This window comes from Homo sapiens, chromosome 8, assembly GCF_000001405.40.
Source record: "Homo sapiens chromosome 8, GRCh38.p14 Primary Assembly".
In the NCBI taxonomy this organism is placed as follows: domain Eukaryota; kingdom Metazoa; phylum Chordata; class Mammalia; order Primates; family Hominidae; genus Homo; species Homo sapiens.
This window is the reverse complement of record NC_000008.11, coordinates 61,776,110-61,795,572: the sequence shown is the minus strand read 5'-3', so window position 1 is coordinate 61,795,572 and position 19,463 is coordinate 61,776,110. Positions and strand designations below refer to the sequence as shown.

Here is a 19,463-nt window from a genome sequence, read left to right as displayed (position 1 = left end):
ACACGTGAACACAGGGAGGGGAACAACACACACTGGGACCTGTTGGGGAGGCCGGGGAGAGGGAGACCATCAAGATAAACAGCTAATGCATGCTGGGCTTAATACCTAGGTGATGGGTAGATAGGTGCAGCAAACCACCACTGCATACATTTACCTGTGTAACAAAACTGCACATCTTGTACATATATCCCAAAACTTAAAACAAAATTTAATTTAAAAAAATTGCACTAGAGACAAAGAAGGACTTTTTATAATTATAAAGTGTCAATGTCCATCAAGAAGATATAGCACTTATAGACATATTAACAAAGTAAAATGCAACATATAGAATGGTAGAAAATATTTGCAAATCATAATTCCAATAAAAGTGTAGTTTCCAGAAAATACAAAGAATCCTCTCAACTTGCAATAAAAAGACAAATATCCAATTAAAAAATGGGCAAAGGATTTGCATAGTCATTTTTCCAAAAAAAGATATACATATAGATAATAAACACACAAAAAGATGATCAACAGCATTGGTCATTAGGGAAATGCAAATCGAAACCACAAGGAGATAGCCCTTCACACACACTAGAATGGCTAAAATCAAAAAGAAAGACAAGAACAAGTGTTAGAAAGAAGTCAGAGAAATTACAACCATCATACATTGCCGGTGTAAATGTAAAATGATGTAGATATTTTGGAAGACAGTTTGGCAAACGTTCAACAAGTTATTTATGGAATTTACTATATAACCCAGAAATTCTAATACTAGGTATATGCACGCACACAAAAAAATGAAAACAAGTGTCAAACAAAAACTTGAACAAGAATGTTCATAGGAGTAATACAATAGCCAAAATGTGGAAACAATATAAATTTCCATCGACCAATAAATGGATAAACAAAATGGGATGTATCCATGCAATGGAATATTATTCAACCATCAAAAGGAATGCAATACTGATACATGCAGCAACATGGATATACCTTGAAAAGACTATGCCAAGTGAAAGAAACCAGTCACAAAAGGCCACCTATTGTATAATTACATTGATATAAAATGTCCTCATATATATTATATCTGTGGAGGACTATCCACTTTTGTTCTAAAGAGAAGAAGTAGAGTTCCAAGTTACCCAGGAAAGACCTCCTCAAAAAAAGAGTTCAAAAACTATTGATTAAAAAGTCATAGCTACAAAATTGAGGAATCTTGATGACCCAATGTGTTTCATATTTCCACAGATATTTAAGGAGAGGCTTTACTTTACCCTCAGAAGTTTAGAAACCCTCCTTTTTTTTTTTTTTTTTTTTTTTTTTTTTTGAGACAGAGTCTTGCTCTGTCCCTCAGGCTGGAATGCAGTGGCATCATCTCGGCTCAATGCAAGCTCCGCCTCCTGGATTCATGCCGTTCTCCTGCCTCATCCTCTCGAGTAGCTGGGACTACAGGCGCCCGCCACCACACCTGGCTAATTTTTTGTATTTTTAGTAGAGACGGCGTTTCACCGTGTTAGCCAGGATGGTCTCGATCTCCTGACCTCGTGATCCACCCACCTCAGCCTCCCAAAGTGCTGGGATTACAGGCGTGAGCCACCGCGCCCGGCCTTAGAAACCCTTCTTAGGTACAGTCTCCATGTAACAGTTTCCTCAACTTCACAGGCACAGCCTTTGTGCCCTGGAAGACCATCCTCTTGAACATACGCCAAATTGTCTATGGAATGGTATTTCATATAGTGTGGAAAATGCTTGAAATATAAGCAAACTCTTTATCCTTATTATTAAAACATAAGCTTTAAAAAGAAGAGTTTTATAGTAAAGTTTTTACTACAGTTTATATAGTAAAAAGCCTATGAATTTGCTGACTGGGAAAGATTTTTTTAATTAAAACTATGAACATCTCAGGACCAACACAGGGCTGTTGAAATGTGGGAGTCATTGCCTAAAATCAGAATATCTCTGTTATAATTCTATTAATAGGGGAAACCTCAGCCAAGGTAGTTGGCCCTCTCAGACTCAGTTTTCTCTCTTGTGAAACTGAAGGTTTGAGCCTGAAATTTTCTTAGGTTTCTTTTACCTTCAATATTCTACGTCCCTGTGAATTTGGAGAATACCTCAAATCCTTGACAATTCAGGCAGTACATCATGTTATCCCAGGGTCTTAAATGAACCAGCGCACTGGGAGGAGACCATCCCCACATGACTCTTCTGTCCCTATCATCAGGGGTGAAAAGGCCTTACTGAGGGGGTACATCAGGCTTTCCCCAGAAGATTCCCTTCCATCCAAAGGGATGAAGATGGAAAATATACACTTCCTGCTCTACCAATAGGTATTAGAAGTCAAACAGGAGTCTCCTCCTTTAGACCTTCTACACCTCATCGAGACGAACAGGAAGCTGCTGAAATGCACACTTTTTTATCCTCCAATATCGTAGTCTCTGCCTTGATTATGCATTGGAATTAAACTCATGCCTTTTTTCTCTTTGTCACCCAAGGCTGGACTCCCAGTCATCCCTCAATCATCCACCAGCCCTTCGCTGATCCTTTTATTTCTTCTCTTCTCACCTTTCTCCATCTCAAATTCCAGAAATCCTTCTACTGTGCCTTTTAGAACTCCCCATCCATTATCTGCAAAATCCCTATATTCTTTTTTTTTTTTAATTTCAACTTTTATTTTAGATGCAGGGGATACATGTGCAGGTTTGTTGCATGGGTATATTGCACTCAGGTAGTGAGCATAGTACTGGATAGGTAGCTTAAACCCTTGCCTCTCCTTCCCTCCCACCCCAGTAGTCTGCAGTGTCTCTTGTTCCCATATTAATGTTCATGTCTGCTCAATGTATAGCTCCCACTTCCGAGTGAGAACATGCAGGACTTAGTTTTCTGTTCCTGTGTTAATTCACTTAAATCCCCCATATTTGTAACCTCATCTCTAAATCTTCATTTCACCTTCAGTGTAGAACAAAAAACTGGCTTTCCCTGAAAATATTACTTCTCCTGTAATCCTTCTAAGAATTACCTGTTTTTCTCCCACCAGCCTTATACAGTTCTACTCAGAGGTGGGAGGATATTCTTCTTGTTCCTCCTTCCCAGTTTTAAACCACTCTCCCTCCTTTTTCCCTGAAACACTCCAGCTTTGAAGATTATGTCATAAAATAACACCACTGTAACTCCTTATTTTTCCTGTCACCTATAGACCCCCTAGGAGCTCCCATCATTCTTCCTAGAATTGAGACTCTCTCCTGACTTCACTCTTAGAAGTTTTAGTCTACAACAGAGATGATCCTTACAACACTCCGATCCCTTGGTTTCTTGGTCTCCTCTTTACAACGGCCTTGTTCACCCACTGCATGCCATCTGCTCCCTCCTGTGGTGATATACTAGATCTGTCATTATCAGTAACTGCTAAACAAAATGACAGCCTCTGCTGAGACCTCAGTCTACAGCCTGAGACATAGAAGAAGAGAGCTGCCCTTCTTATCGACAAGAGCCCTTACGGCAACACTTAGGAATAAATGTCCACAAACATTGAGACACTGACCAACTCCACTTCCCCTACTTGGAAAATAAAAGATGGAGGACTTTTGGGTTTATACAGAGAAGCCCACAGGAAGATGAACATCAAGGCCTATTTGTATTATTTACACCATTCCTCTCTTAAATAAAATACATAGCCTGTCTAGTATCCACTCACATTCCCCACAAGTGCATTTGAATCAACAAACAAATATAAATAAATAAATAACCAGAAGACATGAGAGATCCCCCAATGTAAAGGACAAAAAGATTTTACAGCCAGTGCCCGCACCTCCTTCCCATAAAGTCAATTCTACTAAGCTGCGATGTCAACTTACTTTTTATTTTATTTTATTTTTTTATTTTTGAGACAAGGTCTCACTCTGTCACCTAGGCCGGAGTGCAGTGACACAATCCTGCTCTCCTCTCAGGTGATCCTCCCATTTCAGCCTTTGAAGTAGCAGGAACTACAGGTGCACGCCACCATGCCTGGCTAATTTTTTTTTATTTTTTATAGAGACAGGGGTCTCGCTATGTTGCCCAGTCTGGTCTCAAACTCCCGAGATCAAGCAATCCTCCCATCTCAGCCTCTTAAAGCACCAGGATTACAGGTGTGAGCCACCATGTCCAGCCATCAACTTACATTTTACAAACATTCTGTGTGAGAATGACTTAGTTGCTACCCTACAGTTATAATTTTCTAGCTTAGTTTAATTTAAATTCTGAATATGTTATTGTCAAAATGCAAGGGGTTTTGTTTACACTAGCAAAAGAGCACTGTTCACCAATGACAGGCTTAATGTTAAATTGGGCCCTATTTCTTTGCAGCAGTAAAGTAATCAAACAAGAATGCCATGCCTCTATTAAGCATTTACATTAGGACTGCCTAACTACACCAGGATTTGTTTGGGTAGCACTGGCAGATGTTCTGAAAGACTGTGAGAAAGGCAGCTGGGGCTTCACAGAAAGCAAACGCCCACCTAGGACCATTCTAACATTAGTGCAGGGAACCTGAGTGCTTGTGTGGAGCAAGACATGTGCTGGGTTCTTCTTAATATAATTCCCCACAGTAGATTTTCTGAGCACCTGCAATAGAGGTATTTGTTCTCCATCTGCCTCAGAAAAATATTGAAAGAATTCACAAAGAAAGCCGGGTGTCGTGGCTCACGCAGGTAATCCCAGCATTTTGGGAGGCTGAGGTGGGTGGATCACCTGAGGTCAAGAGTTGGAGACCAGCCTGGCCAACGTGGTAAAACCCTGTCTCTACTAAAAATATAAAAATTAGCCAGGAGTGATGGCCGGCGCCTGTAATCCCAGCTACTCAGGAGGCTGAGGCAGGAGAATCACTTGAACTCAGGAGGTGGAAGTTGCAGGGAGCCGAGATTAGGCCATTGTACTCCAGCCTGGGCGACAAGAGTGAAACTCCATCTCAAAATAAAAAAAAAAAAAATTCACAAAGAAAGTCCAGAAAACATTGAGTTTTTTTGCAATGAAGTGTTATGAAAATAGATTATTTAAATTATCAATGGGTTTTAATCTTATTTAAAAATTAGTAAATCCATTAGATTTTCATTGTGCCAGCTGACAGTGTATTTTCTGACTTTTTTACACAACACAAGGCATAAGATTTGAGAAACTATGAGATTCTGCTTGTTTTAAGCCCTGGTGGTTCATAGTTGAGTGTGAGGCAACCTGGCAGCCATATCAGTGTAACAAAGGACTGAGCAGACCCGGGCTCTGTTTTCTATGTTTCATCCCACACCGGCATGCTTGAAGGGGTAGTTGTGGGCCAGACAAGTGACAGATGGCACATTTGCACCAATCAGATTTGCCAGTGCAGGAGGTTCTCCTCTCACCGCCATACCCAGGAAACAGGCCATGGCTCCATGTCCATATGGGATCGCTCCAGGAGTGCAGGCTTTAGGGCACAATTATTTGGATGAACAGGTTTGGCCTTGACTCTGAGTTTGGGAAATGTCGTGGATAACCCACAATTGGCTTACTGTAGTTCTGAGTCATCACTGGACATTTCCTTTCTCTAGGAGATAGCCCAGGGCATTAAAACTACTTTCCACTATCAGCAGATCCTGGAAATAGCCCTGAGCCTCAGCTCTAGTTCCTCTCAGCTGCAGTCTGAAAGCAGCCTGCTTTTCCAGGACCCCAGAGAGAGACACACTCATCTGTGTCCCCCAAGGGTCTGTGCCCTGCAGACCTCGGTCTCATTTGTGGACCCTGTAGCAGCCCTGTGACTCAGGTCGAGCCCCTCTCAGCCATGGCTGAGGGCCAGCACTGCCTGCCCAGGGACCCACCCAGTGACCCAGAGCAAACCAATCCAGAAACCTGGAGGAAGCCACACCTATCCACATACCAGGTTATAGGACTGCCATCTACAGACTCAGAAGTAGACCCTCATTCAGCACCAGCCCTACTGGCCATGCTTCTGGGGGCAGCCCAGTCCACCCAGAGCCCAGACAGGATCCATGTTTGCTTGAGCCCGGGTAATAGGCTCACCTACCTTATACCTCACTATGCACTCAGTAGAAGCCACATGACCTAGCTCTAACCCTGCTCAACTGTGATCCCAGAGGAAATCTCAGAGTCAGCCTGGGGACCTAATAGAAGAGGGCCTTTATCTACAGAACCATCTATACAGACTGAAAGAGGTATTTGGTACTTGAAATGCATAGACAGCAACACAAACCTACACAGATCATATGATCCAGCAATCCCACTTCTGGGTATGTATCCACAGAAAACGAAATTAGTATGTTGAATTAATATCTGGTTTGATTCCATACCTTGGCTATTGTAAATAATGCTGCACTATTTACAAGAGCCAAGGTATGGAATCAAACTAAATGTTCATGAATTTATAAATGGATGAAGAAACTGTAGAATATTACTGGACCATAAAAAGGAAGAAAATCCTGTCATTTGCAACAACGTGGATGAAACTTGGGGACATTTATGGTAATTGGGATAAAAAAGTCACAGAAAAAAATGCTATATGGTCTCATTTATATGTGGAAATACTATATGATATCACTTATGTGTGGAATCTAAAAAAGTTGAACTCAGAGAAGCAGAGAGTAGAATGGTGGTTGTCAGGGGCTCAGGGATAGGGGAAATGGAGAGATGTTGGTCAAAGGGTACAAAGTTTGTTATAAGATGAATAAGTTCTGGCTGGGCGCGGTGGCTCACGCCTGTAATCCCAGCACTTTGGGAGGCCAAGGCGGGCAGATCACGAGGTCAGAAGATGGAGACCATCCTGGCTAACATGGTGAAACCCAGTCTCTACTAAAAATACAAAAAAATTAGCCGGGCGTGGTGGCACGTGCCTGTGCAGGAGAATTGCTTGAACCCCAGAGATGGAGGTTGCAGTGAGCCGAGCTTGCACCACTGCACTCCAGCCTAGATGACAGAGTGAGACTCTGTCTCAAAAAAAAAAAAAAAAAAAAAAAAAGATGAATAAGTTCTGGAAATCTAATGTACAATCTGGGAACTACAGTAAATAATACTGCCTTGTTTACTTGAAATTTGTAAGAGTAGATTTTAAGTGTCCTCACTGCATGCACGTATACACACACACACACGCATAGAAAAGGGTAACTATAGGTGGTGATGGTTACATTAATTAATGGTTGTGGCTATCATTATACAGGTACATGTATATCAAATCATCACATCGTGTACCTGAATATATATAACTTTTGTCAATTAAATTTTAAAAAACTACTTTCCACTAGAACCAAGAAATCCCAGCACTGACTCCTCCTTTCTTTAAACTCAGATTATTCCTGAAAAAAAAAGAAAAATTAATTTTATGTCTAGAACAATGAAATCATCCCTTATTGGTAGCTTTTGAAAACATCAGAGAATATAATCCTGCTTCTTCCAACCAACTTTACCATGTTGCTAGCTTTCTACTGCCACCCTTCTATCCTGTTATATCCTGTTGTATTTCTCCCCCTTCCTACCCCACCCATAGACTCACTGTTTACCTGATTTTATAGGAAATAAAAAGAAAATTCCTTTAAGATTACCTATAATCTTGGTCACCATAATATCCCCAGAATCTAGCACACTGCCAAGAAAATAACAGGTGCCTAATAAATGCTTACTGAATAAATTTTGAAAGGCCTATGTGACATCAAAAATAAGCATAAAGGACCAGGATAATCTATGTAACATAATGCATACCCCAAAAGAGATAAGCCATGTTAAGAAAAATATTCCCTGTGTTAAAGTGTTACAATGAGGATCCCCAATGAATCAGACCTCCCCATGTCCACACTCTTTCACAATGTGTGGTTGCTCTTCTTCCCATCAAAAGGTAGTCTATTGCTCTGCTGCCTTGAATCTGCCCTGACTCCAAATTTATTTGGCCAACAGAACATAAAATAAGGCATCCTATAAATCACAAAGCCTAGTCCTTCAAAGATTTGGCAGATTCTGCTCTTGCTCTCCTGGAAGCCTGCTACCAGTACATTGTGGAGAAGCTGACTCTAGCCTAGTGGAGGATGGGAGGCCTCATGGGGAGAACAAAGTGCCATAGTCAACAGCCGGTACCAACTGTCAGGCATGTAAGTGAGGCCAGCCTGGCCACCAGCTCCAGTCAAGCCATTCATGATATGCAGAAGAACCACTTAGAGTGCAAACCCACAGAATTATGAGAAAGAGTAAACCACTGTTGCCTTGTCAGAGGGCAGACACCCAGCAATGGAGCACTGAAACACTCTATCGTGTCCAGGTTGCCAGTACCTCTCCTCCCACCACAAATGCCTGAAGCCCAGTGTCCTTGTGAGTAGGATGCGGCTACTGTGTTAGGTTCAGAACATTCATCAGGCTCTCCCAACCAGCCACTGCTCACAATCCACTTGCTCTCATCCATTTTCCTAAAATTCTGTACCTTTTCCTTGAACCTGGATCCTCCCACTCTGTCTGGCTGTCTCAAGCCAACTGTTCCATGATCTACCTGATTTTCATCTGAAATTTCTCCCTATGGACCTCCCATTTATGTCACCCTCCTGGGCTCCAGAAAGTGCAGGCCATGGAGGACTGGCCCTCTTCATACACACCCATCGAAACTTTGAAACTTCCCATTGAACCTGACCAGATCCCTGGGACACACAATGCCCAGGACCCTGGCTCTTCAAGAAGGGGGCTCATATGAATATGTTAACTTGGGATATTTTGAAGGAAGAAAGAAGAAAAATGAGCTGTGGATAATGATAACTCACCTAGTGGAAAAATAATTGTGAAACATGATCTTGAACACAAAGCTATCCCCTCTTTCTATGTTCCCTTGGGGACTTTACTATTATTTGTACTAAATTCTTAACCTTTATATCTGCAAATGCTCAACAGTGATTTTTCAGGAAGCTTTTTACCAATTGATTATGCTGCTATTTATTATTCCAGGCATTTATTATTCTTGACTGTTTACTTGGTTCTGTAGTGATAGTTACAAGCCAAATGCCTTTTGACCTGGGTCTAGAGTTTTCTATGGTGACATTGTGTGCTCATTAGTTTTCTAGGAAAACTCTGGAAAGATAATTGTTTCAAGCTCTTTTTAGTACCAACAGTCATTATCTTGTTGGAATCCCAGCTGAAAATAACAAGAACCCCTTCCAGAGTTACACCACTCACCTGCCCCCTGGCCACTGCTACATAGGGTTGTCCTATTTGAATCTTTCACAGCATAATCACTGCACCTGCAGACTCAGCAGCTCTGCCAGTGGCAGCCCAATGTGGCAGGTGGCAGTGGCAATCCATTTGTTTGCTCTTCCTGGCCACTAGCTCTCTCTCCAGGCCATGGGCTCTTCCCAAATGTTCACTTGCAACCCAAGGTAAAGATTTAGGCTCTCAACCAAGCACTGACCTTTCCTTGAGTCTTACTCCTTGACTGCCACTCTCCTGAAGAGTGATGGAGGCTGTAAGTTTTCCTAGAAAAAAAATGACTCACTCATTGGCAATTATCTTCCTACAGAGATATCGTGCCTCTGTGCCAACAACAAAGGAAAGGGTGTGGCTCAATATTCACCAAATCTAAGTGCTTCTAGGAGAGTGCACATCTCCTTGTAGTTTAAATTTTGACATTATAATATTAAATAAATAACAATCCTTATGAGGACACCTGCAGGGATAAGCCACAGGGATGGTGCCAGTATAAACATATTTCCTTGGCTCTAAATTTTGGTGTTCTCTGTAAAAGTATGTCTGATTGTGCTATAATTAAGGACTAGGTAGGGGAGGAATGGGTGGGAGAAAATGAGAAAGGTGAGTTTCTCTCTCTTTCATAGTCCCAAGATTGGCACAGAGGAAGATGCTGTGATCTCTACCTGTCTGATGCCCATATTTGATCAAATCTGCTGTGAAGAGGAGGCACTGGGGCAAGGCACCAGGGAAAGTGAAGTGTAAGTCCCACCTAAGCAGATACACCTGGAGCATCTATCCCCAAAAAGGGGCTCCCATCCTCCAGGATGTTGACATTTTCTGGGATACTATAGGTGGGGTAAAGCAAAAATTGCATGAGTTTTAGAGTCAGAAAGACTTGGGTCCTCATTCACCTTCTGCTTCTGATTATAGGGCAGTGTTTTCATATTTACAATGTTACCTTGCAATGTGTTATGGGAATGGGAATTTAAAAATGCAAGTAAAGTGATAAAATATGGTAGCTATTATTGCATCTGTAAATCATTTTATGAACTAATCAGTTTGTGTTAAATATAATTCACAAAACTAAAATGCATCCTGTAATGATTTCTCCATGGCTTTTTTAGCTCTCTCAGGATCCTAAGATATTTTTCCAAAACACTTGCTCACCCAGCTTAGTTTATTAAAAAGATAAGTATCTAAAGCAAACTACACCATTATGTTACCCCAGAGCTTACTCTCAATACAAAAAAAAAAAGTTCTTACCTCCCAACCTGTGCAGTTGGTTGTCCACGACTCTACTTTCTTGAGAAAAGTGCTGCCAAAGGGACCCCAGGCCTCTATAGGCAGAGTCTGCTATGATCCAGGGATGCATTAAGGAGCAGACTCTGCTCTATGCTAAAGCTGGACACAAGGATAACTATGACCTCATAATGCTGAAGACCACTCCAGACTCTTCCTAAACTTCTAGATCTGATAACATTACAATAGTATTAACAACCACCACTGTGTTTTGAGCACTAAGTGTCAGGCATTCCAATAAAAGTTTTATGTTTATGAACTTTTGTTCTCTTAAGAGCCCTGTGAGATGTTACTACTCTTCTTTTATAGTTAGATAATTTACAGTTTAGATGAGTTAAACATCCAAGGCCACAGGGCTAGACAGTGTAAAGCCAGGAGTAAAATACAGGCTTTTAAGGCATTTTATTCATATTTTCTAAACTTTTTTTTCAGCAGTTAAAGCCTTTTATCTAAAGAGTACCCAGCTTCATAATAAATAGATTGACAAACCCAGCTGGTGTGGTTTAAGTCGTGTGTGGATGCTAAGAAATCCCCCACAGAACCCTGGGATCTGTAGAACAAAGTGAAAACCCCTCCCTCACCCTGGGATCTGTAAAACAAAGTGAAAATCACTTCCTCACTACGCCATCTCCAATGATGTGCATGGAAGTACTTGGAGGGGTATTAAATGCCACAAACTTCATAATGAAACATCTAAAGTAGCAGAAGTGCTGCAGTGTTGAGAGTCCAGCGGACTGGATGGTTTCCCACTAGCAGTTTAGTCAGAGCCTGCCCCTTCCCCTGCATTGGGTCAGACTATGGTGCCATTTCTAGTGATGACAGAAGGCCCTTTCATCTAGTCTACAAGAGAGGAAAAATGTGGATTATCCACAGAGATGGTTAATCTTATGTGTCCACTTGACTGGGTTAAAGGACACTCAGATGGCTGCCAAAACATTAGTTCTTGTGTCTATGAGGGTGCTTCTGGACAAGATAAGCATTTAGATTGGTGAGCTGAGTAGCACAGATGGCCCTCCCCAGTGTAGGTGGGCATTGTCAAATCTACAGAGGGCCTTATGAGAACAGAAAGGTGGAAGAAAGTTGAATTCTCTCTTTACCTCACTGCTTCAGCTGGGACATTAATATTTTCCTGCCCTCAGCCTTCCTGGTTCTCAGGCCGAAAGATCCAGACCATCATGGACTATCTACACACACACTAGTCTCCCCACAGAGCCGCTCCAGTGGTTTAACACAATAGGACCACCACCCAGAAGGAACGCAGACCCAGCTCATCACAAGCATCACTGCAGATTTCTAGTGTCCCTCGTGTAGCACTGAGTTGATGCTGCATTATTCAGCCCAGGCTTTTACTCAATATTGCCAACTTTTTACTTGACACTTCCATCATTCGTGGGTCTTAGTGGTCCATTTCAACCATTGCTTCCATTTTCACTGCTTTTCTTAACTTCAGCATTCCAACGTTTGATGTCAGAAATGGTCATTTTCTCAGAAGCTGGAATTTACAGATTACCTTTGAGAACTGTCAGTTTGCTGAAAAGTAGCTCTGATTCTCAGGGAAGTCCAAGAGGATTGAGCACTGTTTATTTGATAAGCATAGGAAAGTCCCTTCTCTGTGGTCTGGTAATTGGGTGTGTTTTACTGATTACTTTGTAGAGCTTTGTTGGCACTCATGGTTGTCAGCTTAGGAAAGCTGCTGACCCTGCCTTCTGCATCCTGAATGACAGAAGGCCAAATAGTGGTAAAGTGGTTTGAAGTCTAACAGTGCACACTTTTTAATATTTTTTTCTGTAATTCATTTGTTAAGGTGACCCAAACAAATCAGAGGTAAAAGATGTACAACTTTGAATAAAAACACATATGTTAGAAAAGAAATTAGAATGTATTTACAATTAAGCCCTATGTATGATACATATTACTGTATAACCTCTTTCTCGGGTTAAACAGTAATAGCCCTCAAACTGCTGAAACCAGTAACAGCTAAATGGAGCATTAGCTTTTACTATATTCAGGATGTATTACAGCTGGAAGATGTGGAGTGGAAATGTGTGCATACACACGGGTACAAATTTTAAAAGTGTACTTTTTGATCAGTGTAGTGCCTTTCTAAGATAGAACACATATCTAGCCTGTTACTAGATTGTTTGTCTTAACTTTTAAGCAATATCTCTTGGGAAATAGCAGGGCTTGTTTAAACATCATTTTCATGTACCTTAGCTGGGAATCATTCCAAAATGTTCCATTCTGCTTACCTGTAATCCACATTTGCTCTGTAAACAACCACGACTGCTTGCTTGAAAAATAAGCACCAACCTTGATTCTAAAGCAACCAAGGAAATTTTTCACATTAAAATATTAATAGAACTTCTAGGCTGGGTGCAGTGACTCACGCCTGTAATCCCAACAGTTTTAGGGGCCGAGGTGGACAGATCACTTGAGGTCAGGAGTTCCAGACCAGCCTGGCCAACATGGCGAAACCCTGTCTCTACAAAAAATACAAAAGTTAGCTCGGTGTGGTGGTGCACGCCTGTTACCCCAGCTACTCAGGAGGCTGAGGCAGGAGAATTGATTGAACCTGGGAGGCAGAGGTTGCAGTGAGCCGAGATTGTGCCACTGTGCTCCAGCCTGGGTGATAGAACGAGACTCCGTCTCAAAAATAAAAAATTTAATAGAATTTTTAAACTATTATTTTACTTTTTTGCTATTTTATAGATAGGTAATTTAAAGTAGGAAATACTGAAAAGAGAAAAACAACTTTAAGTTAAGAGAATTATTTTAGCAAGACAAATATATATATATATTTTTAAATTCCTAAAGTAATAATTCAGAGGATTAATATTTTTAAAATTACGATACATTTCACCTAGGATTTTTGTCATAGTTTGATGGATGGTTCTCCTATCACATTTAAAATTATTTAAGATATAAAATTAAAGGTTTAATGTGCATCTATACAAACTCCCAAAGAACAAACATATAGTCCTGGCAAGAAATTAGTCATTGCCTGAGAAGAGACCCAAGGAAACTTTGGAGGTGATAGGAATGTCCTATACCTTGATTGTGGGGGCGGTTTCATGGAAGTGTACGTTACTCAGAAGTCACTGAATTGTTTGCTTAAAAGAGGTAACTCTATTGACAGTAACTTATGCTTCCATAAAGATGGCTTTTTAAAAACCAAATGCACACGCATTTTAAGAATGTGTAGTTTAAGACAAGGCATATTTCTAACTCGATTTTTTGAGACTCATACATATAAACTTTAATATTAATGTCTCCAGGTTTTTCACATTTATTGTTTTCATTTTTTTATCTCTTTCTGTCGTGTTCCATTACTGACCTCTACTGAGCAGTAAGTAATTTTACAAGAAAATTTAAAAGTCCTATCTTAATAGGTTTCCTTCCTCCTAGTTATTGTTTCTCCACAAACGTATATTTTTATTTAAAAATCCTGCATCTAAGGAATACATTTCTATTAGAATGCCTAGTAGAGGAATCTGTAGGGTCAGGATAACCATGAGTCCACTGGAGGTGTTTTGTAGACTTACAGTGTATTTACCTTGGACCATAATCTGTGCAAATCTTTCTCCCATCTCTTTCTAAAGAACTTTAAATATTTACTACACTTTCAAAATATACGTCTTGTCTTCAAAAATACTGGATAGTTGCTGATTGCTGTTGGAGCAAATTACTCTACATTCCATGGCTCAAAACAATATCAATTTATAATTTTACAGTTCTGACTGTCAGCGGTCAGAAAGGAGTTTTACTATGCTAACATCTACATGTTGGCAGAGCTGCATTTCATAGTGGAAGTGCTAGGGGAGAAGCCATTTCTTTGCCTTTTCTAGCTTCTAGAGACTACCTGGTTTGTGGCCTCTTCCTGTATTTTCAAAGCACTTCACTCCAAGCTCTGTTTCCATTGTCACATAATCTCACTCTGACACTTCTGCCTCTCTCGTAAGCATCCATGGGATTACATTTGGCCTACTCGGGTAATCCAGGATAATCTTCTCACCCCAAAATCTTTAACTTAATCACATCTGCAAAGTCCCTTATTCCATGTAAGGCATCATACTTGCAGGTTTGGGGATTTGAACTTGGACATCTTCAGGAGATCATTCCACCTACCAAAGTATCCGAAAATAGATGGGCAAATAAATCTCTCTTTTTTAAAAATAAAATGGACTCAGCAACAGAAGTCAAACAACCCAATTAAAAATGGACAAAATATTTGAATACACATTTCTCTGAAGAAGTTACACAAATGAGCAGTGCATGAAAAGGTGCTCAGTGACAATTGTCAATAGAGAATGCAATTCAAAACCACAATGAGAGGCCACTTCACATCTACTAGGATGGCTATTTCCAAATAGTAATAATAGTAATAACAATAATAGAAAATAACAAGTGTTGACAAGAATGTGGCAAAATTGAAACCTTCATGCTTTGCTGATGGGAATGTAAAACAGAGCAGCCTCTGTGCAAAACAAGTTCGGTGATTTCTCAGCAAGTCACATATAGAATTACCACAAGACCTGACAATTTGACTTCTAGGTACATACCCAAAGGATTGAAAACCGGTGTTCAAACAAAATTTTATACAAGAATGTTCATAGCATCACTACTCACAATAGCAAAAAGTGAAAGCAACCCATGGCTCTCAGCTCTGGGAAGCCTTGTCATTTCATAAGTGACTTAAGCAATAAGGATATCTTTTGATAAAGTATTTGACCCTTTGACTTCAGTTACTAAAGTAGCTCCTGAATGATAAAAGTGAAAGAGTCTTCTGTGATTTACAGCAAGCCCTTTCAACACATCTGAGCTTATGTTAATAAGGCGATTTTTGAAAAACCCCTAGAAACCACAGGATGTGGGGCTGGTTGCCAGGGAAGCCAGTTCGGTGCCCAGAGGGCTGAAATTTTAAGACCACCTACCAACCTCCAGAGAGGGGAATGAGGCTGAAAGTAACTTGATCACCAATGACCAATGATTTAATCAGTAGTGTTCATGTAATAAAGATTCATATAAACCTAAAAGGACAGGATTTGGAGAGCTTCCAGAGAGCCCAACATATGGCAGTTTAGAAGAAAGTGAACAAGAACTTATCAATGTGCTGGGGAGGGTGACACTCCCCAGCTCCACAGTGACAGAAGTTCTGTGCTTGGGACCCTTCCAGGCCTCACCCTATGTAGCTCTTCATCTGGCTATTTACTTGCATCCTTTAAAATATCCTTTGTAACAAGCCGGTAAACATTAAGTAGGTGTTTCCCTGAGTTCTGTGAGCCTTTCCAGCAAATTAATCGAACCCAAAGAAGGATCCGTGAGACCCCAACTTAAAGCCAATCAGTCAGAAGTTGCAGATGCCTGGACTTGCAACATGTCTTGAAGTGGAGAGGCAGGAGGACTGACGCCTCCTCAACCTGTGGACTCTGAGGCTATCTCCAGGTAGATAGTGTCAGAATTGAATTGGAAGATACCTGAACACCCTACTGGTGTCTGCTAGATAACTGATTGCTTGATTTGTGGGGAGAAACTCCCCCAGATTTGGTCACCTAGGCTTCTGTGTTGATGATTGTTGTGGTGTAACAGCAGAGGAAAAAGTTTGAGTTTTTTCTAACATAATGGACAAACCTTAAAAAATATTACGCTAAGTGAAAGAAACCAATCACAAAGGGCCACATAATGTATAATTCCATTTATTTGAAACACCCAGAACAAGAAAATCAGAAAAAACAGAAAAAGGACTAAAGGTTACCAAAAGCTTGAGGGAGTAGGGAAAGGGGAGTCATTGCTCAATGGGTAAGAAGTTTCCATTTGCAGTAATAAAAAATTCTGCATCCAGTGAGCAGAGATTGCACCACTGCACTCCAGCGTGGGCGACAGGGCAAGATTCCGTCTCAAAAAACAAACAAACAAAAAAAAATTCTGCATCTAGATATTGGTAATGGTTGCTCAACATTGTGAATGTACTTAATGCCACTAAACGGTACATTTAAAAATAGTTAAAATAATAAATTTTGTGTTATGTATATTTTACCACAGTTTCAAAAACTAAATGGTAATGTTTCTTAATTCGTGTCTTTCAGAGTTCCTTCTTGTAAATACGTACATGCTGGTATTCTGTTGTTCTTACTCACTTAAAACGTTTCAAACCCTAAGTCATTCTTTTCTCCATCCTTAAGCAGAGTTTACTCAGCAACCTGTAGGTGGGACATGCATCAGTAAAATGGGCTCTTTCAGCTCCTAGACCTTTACATGAGCAGGCTTCAAAATCTGATTCCAACAGTAACACTCTGGATATTTTCTATTGTGAGTCATTAAATGTTTAAATGACATTCTGATGAAATATCTCAAATGAAAAGGAATGCAAATATTTGGCTAATAGGTAAATTTTTCAAGGTTAAGACTGTATAACTGGAGATAATTTTTTTATTTTTTTATTATACTTTAAGTTCTAGGGTACATGTGCACAATGTGAAGGTTTGTTACATATGTATACATGTGCCATGCTGCTGTGCTGCACCCATTAACTCGTCATTTACATTAGGTATATAACTGGAGATAATTTTAAGGAGTCTTTTTTCATTAGATGTAAGCAGTGGCTCTCAGCTGCCTTGGTAAGAATTGCCAGTCCAGCAAGCTGCACATGCAATGTTTGCCACTGCATGTCCTTCAGGATGCAAATGAAAAGCTACTCTTTGAAAATTTGGTCTTCAATCTGCAAGCAAAGTTTACAGATTATAAAGCTATGAGTATGTTTTATAAAGTGGATTCTGTGTGAGATGTACAGCTCAAAACTATTGTTATACTTTACACTTAGAATGCTTTTATGTGCTTATGCAAACCCAACTTACCAACAGGCTTCCTGAGTCTTTGACAGATAGGGGTGATTATCTCCATTTCAACAATGAGAAAGAACAGCAGGGAAAGTACTAACATTTGGTTCCTAACATCATAGCTAGACTACAAAAGAACCCTGCCTTATAATTTGTGAACATCAGCCCAGTTTGTTTTTGAAAGTAAAAGTTTCTAAAATAAAGTTTAGAAAATACTGAACTCTATGGCCCCCTTTGGAAGCTTAACCATTCATATAAGCATATTAAAGGCTCAGAGAATTCCTGCAACAGAGAAACTTGTTAAGTTTCACTTAGTCTAGCATTTGTTTGTTTCTAGAATTCATAATTACCAATAATACTGCTTGTGCATTACAGAAAGCTCATAGGAAATGTTTATCCTTGTGAAAGTTGTCAGCATCAAAAAGAAGTCATCAACATTAACAAGTCATTAATGTTAAAAAAAACTCTGACAAATAGAGCCAGGGAAGACCATGAAGAGAGGATTCTTATGCATATATGCTTGATAATGAGAAAGAGTCTGCAACAACCATAACTTTGCACAAATGCCATCACAACCTTATACAAAAGATCCTTCTGCAAGGACATCTGCCCAGCATCTGCCTGTCTAACCTCAGACTCATCCCTCTTGGCTTTGGTCTTTGTAGCCAAAGATAATGATTTCAAAACAGTTATCGAGTCCTCCTCATTTTTTCCTTTAAAAACTTTTGTCTTCCTTGGCCTCCCCGAATATGCACATCGTTTACTATGGCATGTGTGTTCCCATTACATTGCTGTATTCCAAATAAATATCTTTTCTTTTAGAAAGCCTCTTTCTGTTTGTAATCTAGGTTAACATACTTATTAGAGTTTCATATACACATTAGTATTTGTTTTTATCTTATCTTATAGTGTGCACTTATTTATTAGCCCCTAGACAGTAATGTTGTCTAGTGTAGTTTAGAACGCTGAAGCTCATCTTCTTACAGCTCCCAATGACGTGCTACCATGCTGCCAATTATGGTTGCAAACAGGTAAATTGCATTAATACTAAGTATAAAAATTATATTATCCTCAATTATGATTGCAAACAGGTGAATTGCATTAATGCTGAGTATAAGAATTATATTACCACTACTTATATATCTACTAGACAGAGCAGGTGTCTATAAATGCAAGTAAATGAACACATGCCCATTTTTCACAGGCTCCTCATTAGTTATACAATAAAGAGTGAAGAGACATGGCCAAAAAGCATGTGCTCACAATCATGTCACAGCCCAGGGGTTCTGCTGGGATAGGTGGCCGAGGAAGATGCCTGCCTCAGGACTGACCTACAGGGACTCCAGTAAAATAGATGGCTTAGGGAAGCCAGGGAGAAAAGAAGGTGCCTCCTCAATCCTCTACTGCAGCAATCGCTGAAGTTTTTCCATCTCAGCAAGATAGAGGCCTTACCCTGAACAGAGCAGGGTAAGGTCACCATCATTCTGACAGAGGCTGGCTGCAAATGGAGAGGATTGAGAGGTGTGTGTGCATGTGCTCGTGTGCGCATATGAACTCACAGGTGAGACATCAAACACACCTGTAACTCTACTCCTTACTCCTCTTAACCCATTCTCTATCATTTGTCTAATTAAAATCTAAAAATAATTGGTCACAGAAAAAAAAAATGACAACCTGTTAGACCATCTTTACTAGGTATAGCCAAGAAAAATGCTTTACTTGTTTACAGTTGTCTGAATAAAAAGAAATGTCCAGCTTTCTGACCTAACATCTGACAGTAGCAATTTGCTTCCCCCAAGGCTCATGCATGTAGAAATTAATATTGTAATAAAGAAAGGCATGTATAATATACACCGATAGATTTGTGCATTTAAACTGCATGGCAAGTTGGTATGAGCTGCTAAATAGCAACAAAAAATAAATAAATATTTTAAAGCTTGTGAAAGCATATATTCATGATAATCTGATTTTCTTTAAAATAGCTACGGCTCCCAAAAGGTGCTTCAGGATATGCCATGGTGCCACAATAGATTCACAAGGATTATTCATGATGTTTTAAATTTTCAGGGGAAACACAGAGCTACTCAACATCTGTTTGACATCCTGCAAAAGACTAGCTTGAGTTAGTTCACATTTTCAATATTACATTGTGCTACATTCCTTCAGATCCTATTATTG

At 40.0% G+C, this 19,463-nt stretch overlaps 1 long non-coding RNA gene across 2 annotated transcripts in view; it reads right to left on the bottom strand.

Moving 5' to 3' along the window:
- Positions 1-10,526, bottom strand: part of LINC02842 (long intergenic non-protein coding RNA 2842) — a 77,208-nt gene extending 66,682 nt beyond the window's left edge. For both annotated transcript variants that reach the window (NR_187554.1, NR_187553.1), the window contains exon 1: positions 10,417-10,526. This is a non-coding gene — a long non-coding RNA (long intergenic non-protein coding RNA 2842). The remainder of the gene's footprint in view (positions 1-10,416) is intronic.
- Between the last annotated feature and the right edge of the window lie 8,937 nt (positions 10,527-19,463).